This window comes from Homo sapiens, chromosome 3 (genome assembly GCF_000001405.40).
Source record: "Homo sapiens chromosome 3, GRCh38.p14 Primary Assembly".
NCBI classification, from domain to species: Eukaryota; Metazoa; Chordata; class Mammalia; order Primates; family Hominidae; genus Homo; species Homo sapiens.
In genome coordinates this window covers 171,458,416-171,471,371 of record NC_000003.12, presented here as the reverse complement: position 1 = coordinate 171,471,371, position 12,956 = coordinate 171,458,416, and the positions used below count along the sequence as shown (strand labels likewise).

Below are 12,956 nucleotides of genomic sequence, written 5' to 3'. Positions count from 1 at the left end.
TTCTCTGGCTTTAAGAACCCACCCAGCCAAGCCTCTCAACTCCATTTTTGGCACTTTCTCCCACCCAAGAGCCAGTACCAGGCATGGCAAACCAACTCATTTAGCTTGGAGCTCTCAGGCAGCCCACACGTTAAGGGAAATACAACAAGTTCTGTACTTGTATGGTTTCCTTAAGATAAAAAGCACAACACAAGTGGAAAGAACTTTGAATGTCTGGGACACAATATGGTAGAGTAGAAGAAACAGTATATGGGGAATCTGGTGGGAGACAATACTGATAAATAAGGCCTTGCTTTTTTTTTTTTTTTTTTTCTTTTTTTAGCACAAAGTCTTCAGTCCCCAAAGCCCTTTCCTGTGCTAAGTCTGTGACACTGAGCAAGTCACATAGTGTTTCTGGACCTTGGTTTCCTTATCTGTAAAATGAGGGGGTTGGAGTTGCTTATCTGTAAGTTCCCTTCCAGCTTGAAAAGTCTGATAAGCACTTTTATCTACCCTATGACTTCATGTAAAGGTCCAGTTAGGCTACTCATCCCCTCCCCTAGCTCTAGCTAACCTGGGGTTATGCCATTCAAATATAGGAACATGAAATAAAAGAACTGAAAATTATTTTGCGTGTATGGTGGGGTATGGGACATTTTAATCCTAAAATTAAACAGGACACAGTTCTGTAAAAAAGTTATATGGGGGCTGGGCGCGGTGGCTCACGCCTGTAATCCCAGCAGTTTGGGAGGCCGAGGCGGGCGGATCACAAGGTCAGGAGATCGAGACCATCTTGGCTAACACGGTGAAACCCCGTCTCTACTAAAAATACAAAAAATTAGCCAGGCGCGGTGGCGGGCGCCTGTAGTCCCAGCTACTCGGGAGGCTGAGGCAGGAGAATGGCGTGAACCTGGGAGGCGGAGCTTGCAGTGAGCCGAGATTGCGCCACTGCAATCCGGCCTGGGCTAAAGAGCGGGACTCCGTCTCAAAAAAAAAAAAAAAAAAAAAAAAAAAAAAAAAAAAAAAAAGTTATATGGGAAAAGTGAAAGCACATTGAGATAGCCAGCAGGGAGCAAAGCACCCCAGACTTATGACATAGTCTGCACAGGCCTTGGTAATCAGAATAAATGTCCTTTCATCATTTCAGTTACAGTATGTTTGGTCATTGACTAGGCATGTATGTACTGTTGCAGGATACTAGGTTAGATCCTGAAAATATTGAGGGGAAAGCAAGCTGAAAACTCAATTACTTGGCCAGAATACAATTACATTTAAAACCGCTTTAGGATTTAAGAAGATTAAGCAACTTCCAAAAAAATAGGATAAACAATTAAACTTTTACAATAAATATTGAAGGATTAAAGCTCTATATTAAAATTTCTATGCATACTTGTTAGGAAATTCTCAAGGAATGAAAACAGAAAAATGCTGTTTTGAAAGTGCTTGCCAAATTTTTAGTAAAAATAGTTTTCTGCATTTAGGGAAAGTGTAATACTGGTATTTTAGATAGAGTGTTGTGTTTGCCTTTGAGTTTAAATAGTACCAGATAATTAAGAAAATTTCTCCAAACCTATTTAATACAAAAGAGATGTAATCACTTGCCATTATTATCCCAAAAGCACTAGGCTTTTAAAGAAAACTCTCTATCTACCTATCAATGAGAAACAAGAAATAAAAACAATAAAACCACTGTTTTATTTTTATTTTTCTATTTTGGGATTTACTTCAGGCAGTTCAACTCCAGGGACCATGCTCTTCACCTCAGATCACATTATATGGAAGACAGCACGTGGAAGTTCAGGCTCCTTCAGGCAGTCTGAGGTCCAGCACAAAATTGGAAAGAGGAAGGGTAAGAGGTAAGACCAATTGGAAAATAATGAAGAATGCTACCAATGTACAGAAATAGAGTCTTTGTAAGGCAGCGGTAATGTCAGTGAAAAACAGCAGTAATGTCAGTGAAGGCTGCCGGGGAGCTGGAAGGGTAGACTAATTGGACAAAGGAAAATTGGAGCTTTATTTTCTAAAGAAAAGCTGTTCAAGATGATGATAAATTCTTGGGTGGGCCTCTGGGAGTAACTTTAAGTATAATGAGAAACTAAAGTCATTCTAGTGAAAAAGTTTCAATAATTGAGAATTACAGATTTAGATGGATCTGTTACATGAATGTTGAAATCTACTAATAATATGGTATGTATGATTGTTGCTTTTGGGAAATTATAAAAAGCGTACTTTTTGGCCTGGTCCAATGTTGTTAATTTTCTGTGAGAGATTTGAAAAGCATCCACATTCTTAATTTATTGGGGTTGCTTTGCTTTGTTTCTACAAATTCTGAGAGCTTCTGTCTTTTAATAAGGAAGTTTAAATATTTATACTTATTCTGATATGTTTGTGCTTATGCCAGCTACATTATTCTTTGGTTACAAGCAAAAGTAGAAACTAACTCTCGCTAACGTGAGCAAAGGGGAGAATGCTGAGGACACAGAATTGATGGTAAGGCTTGAAGAATATGGTAGGCTTTAGTTTCCAAAAATACTGCAATAGTATCTTCCATCCCACATGCTCTTCTTCAGTGCAACTTAGATAATCCTCTTATTGAAAGGTGGCATCTCTGCATCCTCCCCTTGAGTCCGGGTAGATTCATGACAGTGGTGGAAATGAAGTCGCATGACTTCTGAGGCTAGGTCAGAAAAGGAAATACAGCTTCTACCTGGTTCTCATGGGATGCTTGTTCTTGCAACTCAGACACTATGCCATGAAGAAGCTCCAACAGACCGTGGAGAGACCCACCCGGAGAGGAAGAGAAGCTCCCAGCCATCAGCCCTGGCTGAGCACTCCTGATAGCCTAACACCACACTTGCTAGGCATGTGAGCAAGCCATTTTGGAAGTGGGTCCTCCAGCCCTACCTCATGCTCTGTGGAGCAAATGAGAATTCCCCACGAAATCCTGCCCAAATTACACATTTTCAAGCTACAGAAATGACTGTTACTGTTTTAAGTCATTGAGTTTAGAGGTGGTTTGTTTGTTATAAAGCAATAAATAACTAGCACAGAGAACCAAGTTTGGAAACGAACAAGATACAAGGAAACAAGGCTTCCTATTCCTCGAACTAGGAAAGAGGAGTGGTCTCTAGTCATACCTTATGGGTAGGGTAACACAACTGGAATGAATTAACACTAATCATTTTCAGCCCTGCCATTCTTCTGAAGTTCCAGGTTTTGGTGAAGGGTCCTTCCACTGTTCCAATTTCAGTCACCTCCTCACCCTTTGTCTACCAATGAGCAGAAAACCTGAGTGACAGCCACAATAATCTGTAACCAAGGGAAAAGAGACAATGATTTAAAAATAAAAATGGATAAAAGAAGTTTGTATTCATTTTTTTAAATCACTGCTGTGACAAATCACCTCAAAATTAGTGGCTTTACTTAAATAACACAAATCTATTATCCTATAGTCAGAAGTCCAAAATGGGTCTTTCTGGGCTAAAATCAAGATGTTAGTAGGGGCCAGGCATGGTGGCTCATCCCTGTAATCCTAACACTTTGGGAGGCTGAGGTGGGAGGATCCCTTGAGCTCAGGAGTTTGAGATCTGCCTGGGCAACATAGTGAGATTTCATCTCTACAAGAAAATTGAAAAATTAGCCAAGCGTGGTGGCCTGCGCCTGTAGTCCCAGTTACTTCAGTGGCCAAGGTGGGAGGATCCCTTAAGTGCAAGAGATCAAGGCTGCAGTGAGCTGTGATCTCACCACTGCACTCCAGCCTAGGAATGCAGTGACAAGTGAGCAAGACCCTGTCTCAAAAAATAAAATAAAATAAATGAAAAGGGCCTGCTGCAGTGGCTCATGCCTGTAATCCCAGCACTTTCAGAGGCCAAGGTGGGAGGATCATCTGAGGTCAGGAGTTCAAAACCAGCGTGGCCAACATGGTGAAACTCCATCTCTACTAAAAATACAAAAATTAGCCAGGCATGGTGGCACATGCCTGTAATCCCAGCTACTCAGGAGGAGAATCACTTGAACCCGGGAGGCGGAGGTTGCAGTGAGCTCCACTGCACTGTAACCTTGGCGACAGAGCAAGACTCCATCAAAAAAAAAAAGAAAGAAAGAAAGAAAAAAAAATGTTATCAGGGCTGCATTCCTTTCTGGAGGCTCCCGGGGACAATGTGCTTCCTTGCCTGATTCAGCTTCTAGTGGCTGCCCATATTCCTTGGTGTATGTGTGCCCCTTCCTTCATTTTCAAAGCCAGCAATGTTATATTTCTCAGTGCCTTTTTCATATTACATCTTCCTCTAACTCTGAGTCCTTTTCTGACTCCCTCTTTTACTTTTAAGGAACTTTGTGATTACTTGGGTTTACTCTGATAATCCAGGAAAATCTCCTCATCTCAAATGCCTTAACTGAATCACATCTGCACAGTCCCTCTTGCCTTGTAAGGTAACGTAATTACAGGTTCCAGAGATTGGAACGTGGACGTCGATGAGGGGCCATTATTCTGCCTACCACAGTATACCAAAGCAGAATGGATACTGGGTGGGCCCCACCACTCTAAAAACTTGTTCTTCATACTACTCATTCTGGTTGATATTTTTTCTTTTCTTTATTTTATTGAATTCATAGTTACTCTTGTTTCATTTTTTTTCCATTCAAGTAGCCTGTACTTTAAACATCCAATTTGTATCCATCTATGTGGTGACCTTATGTTTATTATGCATAATTGATATACTTTTCTGTGTTTAGAGATAGTATCTATATACATCTCCAAATAAGACAAAAAAATCTTAGCATGCTTTTCCTCCTCTTCTTGCCTTTTATCCTTGTGATAACATCATTTAGTTATAGACTATCATTATTTATTTTTATTAACTAGCAATGATGAAAACAATTAAAAATTTAAAATTTTCTATAACAGAAAGTGGTTGGGTGCAAAAAACAGAATACTCCACTAAAGCTGACTTAAACCATGAGAAAAACTTATGTCACACAAAAAGAAATTCAAAGACAGTTTGTTCCTGGGTTAGTTAATGTAGTGATTCAATGGTGTCATGCAGGATCCAGGTTCTTTTCATCTTTTCACTTTTTTTGAAGCTCCTCCCACCCTGGTAGGAAGAAGACTTCTATAGTTCCAGCTATTATATCCTCACACAACCCTGTCTGAAAATAATGTATTAGTTATCCCTTCCTGCATAACACATCAAGCAACTTAAAACAACAATAAAGTTTATTATTTTAATAATATGATTTCTGTGGGTCAGGGATTCGGGAGCAGATTGGTTGGGTGCTTCTAGCTTAGGATCTCTCATGAGGTTTCTGTCAGAATCAGCTGAGACTGCAGTCATCTGAAGGCTTGACTGGGGCTAGAGATCCACTTCAAAGCGACTCATCAACATGGCAGGCAGGTTGCATGAATATCTGTGGGACAAGATGGCTGGCTTCCCATAGAGCTCTGGTTCTTATTGTGGGTGATTTTTCTCACCAGGGGGCATTTAGCAATATCTGGAGACGTGTTTGGTTGTCATAACTGGAAAGTTGCTATTGATATCTAGTGGGTTGGAACTAGAGTTACTGCTAAACATCCTATATGACACAAGACAGCCTTTCACAACATGAATTATCAGGCCCAAAATGCCAATAGTGCTAATGTTAAGAAATCCTGCCTTAGAGCAAGTGAGCCAAGAGAGCAAGGTAAAAGCTGAAATGCCTTGTATTACCCAGCTTTGGAAGTCCTCTGTATTCCATGTTGGAGGGATCCACACAAGGGTGTGAATACCAGAAAGTGAGGCTCATTGGAAATCATCTTGGGCATAGCTACCATGGGAAGGAAGCTTTTCCTGGCCATTTCTCTTGTTTTGTCTTCTCTTCCTTCCTTCTTCCTTCATTTCTTCCGATCTTCCTTCCCTATTCCTTGTTTCCTTTTCTTTTTTCAACTTTCAAAGAGGAAAACCATTTCTTTTCTTTTCTTTCTTTTTTTTTTTTTTTTTTTGGAGACGGAGTTTCGCTCTCGTTGCCTAGGCTGGAGTGCAATGCCGTGATCTGGGGTCATCGCAACCTCCGCCTCCTGGGTTCAAGCAATTCTCCTGCCTCAGCCTCCCGAGTAGCTGGGATTACAGGCATGTGCCACCACGGCTGGCTAATTTTGTATTTTTAGTAGAGACGGGGTTTCTCCATGTTGGTCAGGCCAGTCTCAACCTCTCGACCTCAGGTGATCCGCCCGCCTCGGCCTCCCAAAGTGCTGGCATTACAGGCGTAAGCCACGGTGCCCGATGGAGGAAAACCATATCTATAAGCCCTACCAGACTTCTCTGCACTTCTCAGTAGTCAGTGTTGAATGATATGCCTATGTCTAAACCAATCATTAGGAGAGAGAATAGAATGGGGCTGGGGAGAATCTATATGTTTTACACACATGGAGGGTAAATTGTCAAAATCGGTGTTTTACTAGTAAGGAAGAAAGAATGGCTTTGAGCAGGTAACAGAGTTTGCTACCTTTGTTTATCATTGTCTTTTGTAACACACACTTTGTTTTTGGATTCAGTTTACTCTTTGGTGGAAGACATTCTCTAAAAGTAATTTCAAGGATGGGCAGCAATCTCAACTCTTACATATCTGAAAATATGTGTCATTATTTTGTACCCTCTCTTAAGTGCTAATTTAGTTTGGTAGTCTAGGTTAAAAACAATTCCCTTAGAGGCTGGGCGTGGTGGCTTGCACCTGTAATTCCAACATTTTGGGAAGCCGAGGTGGAATCCCAGGAATTTGAGACCAGCCAAGGAAACTTACTGAGACTCCAGCTCTAAAAAAAAAAAAAAAAAAAAAAAAAAAAATTAGCCAGGCATGGCAGCACGCACTTGTGGTCCCAGCTCAGTTATTGGGTGGTGGTGGGGTTAAGGTAGTTAAGGTGGGAGGATAGCTTGAACTCACTGAGGTCCTGCAATGAGCCAGCCACACACTCCAGTCTGGGTGACAGAGAGAGACTGTGTCTCAAAAACAAAACAAAACAAGACAAAACACCATTACAATGATTTCCTTAGAATACTGTTCCATTGTCTATTAGCATCCATTGTTGCTGATGAGAAGGTAATCCAGTTAAGATTTACTTTTTATCCTTCATGCTCTGAAATCTCACTGTGAGGTGTTTAAGTGTGTTATTTTTTACCTATGCATTTGGCTCAGAGCTAAATGAGAGCTTTTTACTTAAAGATACTGGAATATTTTCTTTTTTTCATTCTTGTTGCCCAGGCTGGAGTGCAATGGCACGATCTTGGCTCACTACAACCTCCACCTCCAGGGTTCAAGCAATTCTCCTGCCTCAGCCTCCCTAGTAGCTGGGATTACAGGCATGCATTGCCACACCCGGCTAATTTTGTATTTTTAGTAGAGACGGGGTTTCTCCATGTTGGTGAGACTGGTCTTGAACTCCCTACCTCAGGTGATCCGCCCTCCTCAGCCTCCCAAAGTGCTGGGATTACAGGTGTGAGCCACCGTGCCCAGTCAAGATACTGGAATATTTTCTACCATTTTTTGAGTATTTCCTTCCATCCATTCTCTAGATCCCTTATCAGATGAATATTGGGCCTTCTGGATTTATTCTCCATGTTACTTAAATTACTTAAATGCCTTGGACTAGGTAATTTATAAACAACAGAAACAGAATTGCTCACAGTTCTGCGGCCGGAAAGTCCAAGATCAAGATATCAGCGGATTTGAAGTCTGCTGAGGGCTCCTTTCTCACAGATGGCCCCTTCTATGCATCTTCATGTGGTGGAAGGGCGAACAGGCTCCCTCAAGCTTCTTTTCTCAGGGCACTAATCCAGTTCATGAAGGATCTGCCCTCATGATCTAATCACCTCTTAAAGGTTCCACCTCTTAATACTATCACTATGGGGGTTAGGTTTCAACACATAAATTTTGGGAGACACAAACATTCAGATAGAACAAATGCTTAGAAAAATATCTGCAGCATAGTATTACTTATTATTCAAATTTTCTATTCATTTTTATAAAGAGGGTCTCCCTCTGTCGCCCAGGCTGGAGTGCAGTGGCTTATCTTGGCTTGCTGCAGCCTCAACCTCCCGGACTCAAGCAATTCTTCCACCTCAGCCACCCTAGTAGCTGGGATTGCAGGGGTGTACCACTATGCCCACCTAATTTTTGTATTTTTTGTAGAGATGGGGTTCTACCAAGTTGCCCAGGCGGGTCTCGAACTCCTGGACTCAAACTATCCTCCCAACCTGTCCTCCCAAAATGTTGGCATCACAGGTGTGAGCCACCACCGTGCCTGGCAGAAATCTTTAGCAAAAAAATTAGGTATCATTGTTGGAGTCTCCTTTTCCTCTTCCTCTTTTCTCATTATCCTGAAGTTAATCTGTATCCTTACTGCCTGTATCCATGCTTTATATAGTTTACTACATATTTATACATATGTAAACAGCATAGTGTATTATTCGGCAGGTTTTCAAACTGCACATAAATGGTGTCAGTTCTCTTAATCCTTCAGATTACATCAAGAAAAAAATCTCAAGTCTTGAATGTTTTTCCTGGTATTTGCTATTCTCTCTTTTAACAAACTAAGAGTAGGCCTTAGGCTAGAAGCCCAGAGCAGGAATTGATGGCTAGCTAGAATTTAATAATACTTCTTTATTTTCCATTATATTTATTTTAATGGTTTCCTCCCCCCTTTTTTTTTCAAAGCAAGTGTTGTTGGCTTTCCATTTAGAGTAGTGATTTATGTTTTCTTTTATATTAAGTGTAAGAAAAAAGTGTTGATTTAAAGAAAAATGTTAAGTAAGTGGTAAAATAGTACAGGCAATACAGAGACATAGGAAAAAATTAGGAAATTTATACTGGAATAGCTGAAATTTGATACACACTTGACCAAAAGGAAAAAGTTCAAGTTCCTCCTTCTCACCTTCCTTTACCAGTTGGAGGTCCCTTTGATACTGCAATCTCTCCTTTTATGGTATTTCCTGCAGCCCACACCCCTGCCTTCCCCTGGCTGTCTCATCAACTTCTCAGGCTCTTAGGAAGCCCTCCTCCATTTAGCACCTGGCATCATACTGCATCTATAACTTTCTCATCTAAAACTAAACTAAATCTGAATGCCAACTTGGCACCCTCGTGGCCCAAACAGCTCACTAATGTCAAAAAAGTTGATCTGTTTGTGATGTTTCAAATATAATCATGAGTATAAAACGAAGGCTTTCCATGGAAAAAATATTTAACTCATATTTCCTTATGTTTGCAGTTTTAAAAAAATAGTTGTTTATAGATCTTAATACTTGATCTTAAATTATCTTCTTTCAACCCTGAGACAATACATTAACCTGTTGTCTAGATGAACGGTAAAAAAACAGGAACACAGAAGAGAAAAAAACAAAGACAATGATGGGAAATAATCTGTTTTTTTTTTTTCATTTCGACGTGGTGGCTTACTGCACGTTACTTACTATGTCGAACCAGATGATTTTAGTAAAAAATGAGTTTAGTAATTTAGTATAACACGTTCAAATGTTTACATACAACGTTTACAGGCAAAAGCTACCAAACTGTTGTGGCCATTGAGATGTTGGAACAATTTTCAAGTTTCATGGTGCATGATCCACAATGCATATGAATACATACAATATCAGTAACAAAAACAGTACAATGTACACCAAAGGTTGTTTCAAAGTCCTCTAATGTCTGCAGTCATGATGAACTAACTGCACTGGCTTTCATTCATTCATTCATAAGACTTATTTTGAAGCTGATCTTCATACTGCATGATTAAGAAACCATCAGTGCAGTGGTCAGAATTACATTCTGCTGTTAACAGAGGAGCAAAGAATGCTTTCAAAGCTACTGCTGTATTTGGAAAAAAGTTCAGTTTTAGTGTTTTCTTTCTAGGTATTTTGCATGGCTAAGGCGGGAGAAGAAGGGCTGCGCGGGGATTGGGGGAAGCGACTTCCCACTCTTGATTACAGAAGGAGAATCATGTATACCACTGTAAAACATCCAACCTTTAAATGAGAAAGTGAGTGAAGTGAAATCGCTCTCACGTACACATCTTCCGCGTTACTTCTTATCCGCCAGCCAAACTTTCTCCATCAATCTGGGTAGGTCTGCCACGAAAACGCAGCCTGAAAGAAATGCTGAGTCCTGAGGCGGCGTGTGTTGCCTCACCCAGTGTTGGCTTTGGAGTTACCTGAAGCCTTCTAGCTACTGCACCCAGAGAGCAAGCTTCTCGTTTCAACTCGGTTGTTTCCGTGGGGAATTGCGGCACGAGCAAGTCCTGGGTGTGGCGATGCCAAGAGAGCGCTCAGATCTCCCATCTTTCCCGCTTCTGGCAAACCTTCCCAGCCCCGAATCGGCGAGTGACCAGCACCCGGGATCAGCCGTCCGGCATTCCGGGGACCGCGGGTGGACCCGACCCCGCCGCAGCTGCAAACTGCCGAAGCGCCCAGCTGGGTGCACTGTGCGTGTGCGCTTCTTCCCTACTCTTTCCGCGCCTGGAGGCGGATCCCCTTCCTTGCACACAAGTCCTTATATGCACCGGTTGCACCAGCCCGCGTTACTCCGGCCCCACAAATAATTAATGGGGGAGGGAGGGTGTCGCTTTTTTTTCCTCCGGCTTTTTCTCAGCGCGAGAGCATTTGAACCGAGGAGAAACCCCAAGACGCGACTGAAGGGCCATTTTGCTGCAGTGCACGAATTGGCCACACAAAAATAGAGCTTGGGTCCCTATGATAACAAGTCAAGGTTCAGGAACAGCCCCTTCGGGTTCGGCCCGAGGAGCCCGCAAAAGCCTGGGCGGAAAGGGTGCGCGCCCCTCCCCCCTCCACGCTGGTGCAGAGGGACCGGGTCAGGAAGCGCGGCCTCTCCCCAGTCCAAGACCACGCCTCCTCCGCCTCCCCACTCCCCCTTCACTCCTCCCAGGAAGCGGTGATAGACAGTTCTGCGTGGTTCTCCACCCCCACCCTCCCCCTGCTGAGTGGAGGAGTTGATGTGTCTCATTATAACAGCCAATGCAGCCGCCATCCACGCACAAGCAAAGAAGCATGTCCCATTTAAATACACCCACGCAGCCCCAGCGCCCTTAGCCGATCGGGGCGCTCAGCCCACACGCACCGCTGCTCGGGGCTTGGAGATCCGCGCAGGCTGGGCTCCCGGACCCGGCGGACCGACGCGCGGAGGATCGGGATCCGGCGCTGTGGGGCTGGGGTGGGCGGGGGAGGCTGGGCCCGGGGCCTCTGGCGCGACACCCGCATGAGGACGCGAGTGAAATAGACCAAGGTGGAATTTCCAAGGGAAAAGCTTCGGGGTGGTTTTGGTCCATTTCTCCAGCGAAGAAGTAGACATGGCGAGCGACTCCCCGGCTCGAAGCCTGGATGAAATAGATCTCTCGGCTCTGAGGGTGAGCAGGACGTTTTCTGGTTTCTTTCCAGTGGTTTGGGTTAGGGTGAATGGGCTCGGTGCGTGGACTGGGGGCTGGGGCTGGGGCAGGGGGACAGCAGCGGGAGAATGCGTCGGGGAGGGAACCTGGATTCCCGTTTTGATTCGGGGTTGCTGAGGTGCTCCTGGCTGAGCCCCTACGGCAGGGGCTGTGCGGTACGTGTCTTCCTCTGGCCGTGGCTTAGGCTCTCCCGAGGGCTCGTAGAGCTTATGCCAGTTTCATCTTATACCGGTGTAAGAGCATTAAAATGAAAGGCGTGTGTGCGTGTGTGTGTGTGTGTGTGTGTGTGTGTACACGCCCCGGGCAGTTGTCTGGTGCCAAGGCGCGAGACCCGACTGTCCCTTCTGCAAAAAGAATGCCAGCGTGAATAAAGGCACTGGCCCCTCACGTTTTCCAGCTACCTGCAAGATGACATTGTGAGGCTGGCTGTCCCCGCGAAGCCGAACCTGCCGCTCCAAGGGGGCAGTTATTGCTATGCTGGTCTTGTAGATGGCAACTGCCTCCCCCTCCCCCTTTTCTACCTCCCGCGCCCGGGCGCCCTCTCAGCGCTCCCTTAAATGCCAGTCTGCCACTCACCTTTATTTATGGCTTTAACTCAGCCCTGCCTGTTCTTTCTGACTTTGTGGCTGTAACGTTTCAGTTTTATGGCTGAACTTAAGCAGGTGAAAGGGATGTGTTTTCTGCTTTTCCTCAATCAGACCGGAACTCCCTGGAGTGTGTGCGAGTGTGTGTGTGTGTGTGTCTGTGTGTGTTTTCCCCGTGTCTGTGGCCAGTCCTTTGTAGAGCACCTCCCTCCCCCCAGCCCCACTGGTTTGCGTTTACCTTCACGTGAATTACCTCAGACGCCGTTTCATTGTATTGACTAAGACATCACTGATATAGAATCCATTTTGCTGTTGTTTTGAGATCAGAATACCAGGAATCCAAGTGCTGCTTCGACGCTTCCCCACCCCCAACTCCCGATCCCAACACACTCCTTTGGGGAAGGGGGCAGAGCTTTCTTGCCATTTTAATTAGATGCTGCCTGCCTGGAAGGGGGTGAGGGGTGGGGATGGTGGCAGCAGCGGGTGTCTGAGAAGGATTGGACACCAATTTAAGGACTGCTTCTTCCTCTCCCGAACCAAAAATAAAATTAAAAAGAAAGCGAGTGCATATACTTGATGTATGGAGGGTGGATGAGAAGGAATTCATGGTGGCTCTCTACAGGGAGACACCAGGATGGATGAAGCATGGAAGTTCACACGCCCTCCTGAGGAATACATTGTTAGATTGATGCTGAATCTTGGGGCCATTTACCTGGATTCCTAGTACTTCTGACATTGCCGCTATCTGCACTGATATATTAAAGTGCTACCTTTGTGATCAAAGTGGTACTTTCTCTTTGGTCTCCTTAATTAAACCTTTTCCTCCACATCTCTTTGAATAAGTCTTTCTCTCTTCGTCTTAATCTGTTGGGCTAAGAGATGAGGTTTCAGCAAGGCAAGTAAGGAGTTGAGAAGAAACAGAGATGCCGTTTGAAATGGGCTGTTCTGATAGTTGGGCAGCCAAAGCT

General features: G+C 43.9%; 1 protein-coding gene and 1 long non-coding RNA gene across 13 annotated transcripts in view, besides 4 other annotated features; one reads left to right on the top strand and one right to left on the bottom strand.

Moving 5' to 3' along the window:
- Window positions 195-687: a transcriptional cis regulatory region, noted in NCBI's record as "candidate enhancer chr3.4898 targeted for multiplex CRISPR interference". NCBI's record gives its function as "positively regulates TNIK gene expression with high confidence in K562 cells {active_cell/tissue: K562}" and the evidence as "EXISTENCE:mutant phenotype evidence [ECO:0000015][PMID:30612741]".
- Window positions 1,652-12,154, bottom strand: LOC102724479 (uncharacterized). Of its 4 annotated transcripts, none has more exons than NR_189068.1 (3): window positions 11,981-12,154; window positions 3,117-3,288; window positions 1,652-2,656 (listed from the first exon to the last, which is right to left on the bottom strand). It is a non-coding gene; the product is annotated as an uncharacterized LOC102724479 (long non-coding RNA). The 4 variants fall into 4 exon arrangements; NR_189066.1 differs by lacking the exon at window positions 11,981-12,154 and adding an exon at window positions 10,015-10,472; NR_189065.1 differs by lacking the exon at window positions 11,981-12,154 and adding an exon at window positions 10,015-10,472 and having other exon boundaries at window positions 1,652-1,795.
- Window positions 2,697-2,746: a silencer, noted in NCBI's record as "silent region_14894". NCBI's record gives its function as "represses an Ori minimal core promoter by ATAC-STARR-seq in GM12878 lymphoblastoid cells {active_cell/tissue: GM12878}" and the evidence as "EXISTENCE:reporter gene assay evidence [ECO:0000049][PMID:35858748]".
- Window positions 9,766-10,266: an enhancer, noted in NCBI's record as "H3K27ac hESC enhancer chr3:171178895-171179395 (GRCh37/hg19 assembly coordinates)". NCBI's record gives its function as "activates a minimal SCP1, AML or CMV promoter by ChIP-STARR-seq in primed H9 embryonic stem cells {active_cell/tissue: H9 hESC(primed)}" and the evidence as "EXISTENCE:reporter gene assay evidence [ECO:0000049][PMID:30033119]".
- Window positions 10,964-12,956, top strand: part of TNIK (TRAF2 and NCK interacting kinase) — a 401,995-nt gene continuing 400,002 nt past the window's right edge. For 8 of the 9 annotated variants that reach the window (NM_001161566.3, NM_001161565.3, NM_001161562.3 and 5 more), the window contains exon 1: window positions 10,967-11,365. In NM_001161566.3, coding sequence (NP_001155038.1) covers window positions 11,309-11,365 — 57 coding nt within the window. In that variant the 5' untranslated portion in view covers window positions 10,967-11,308. Of the gene's footprint in view, window positions 11,366-12,956 lie in introns of all 9 variants that reach the window. The other variant, NR_027767.2, reaches the window with a different exon arrangement.
- Window positions 11,278-11,337: a silencer, noted in NCBI's record as "silent region_14893". NCBI's record gives its function as "represses an Ori minimal core promoter by ATAC-STARR-seq in GM12878 lymphoblastoid cells {active_cell/tissue: GM12878}" and the evidence as "EXISTENCE:reporter gene assay evidence [ECO:0000049][PMID:35858748]".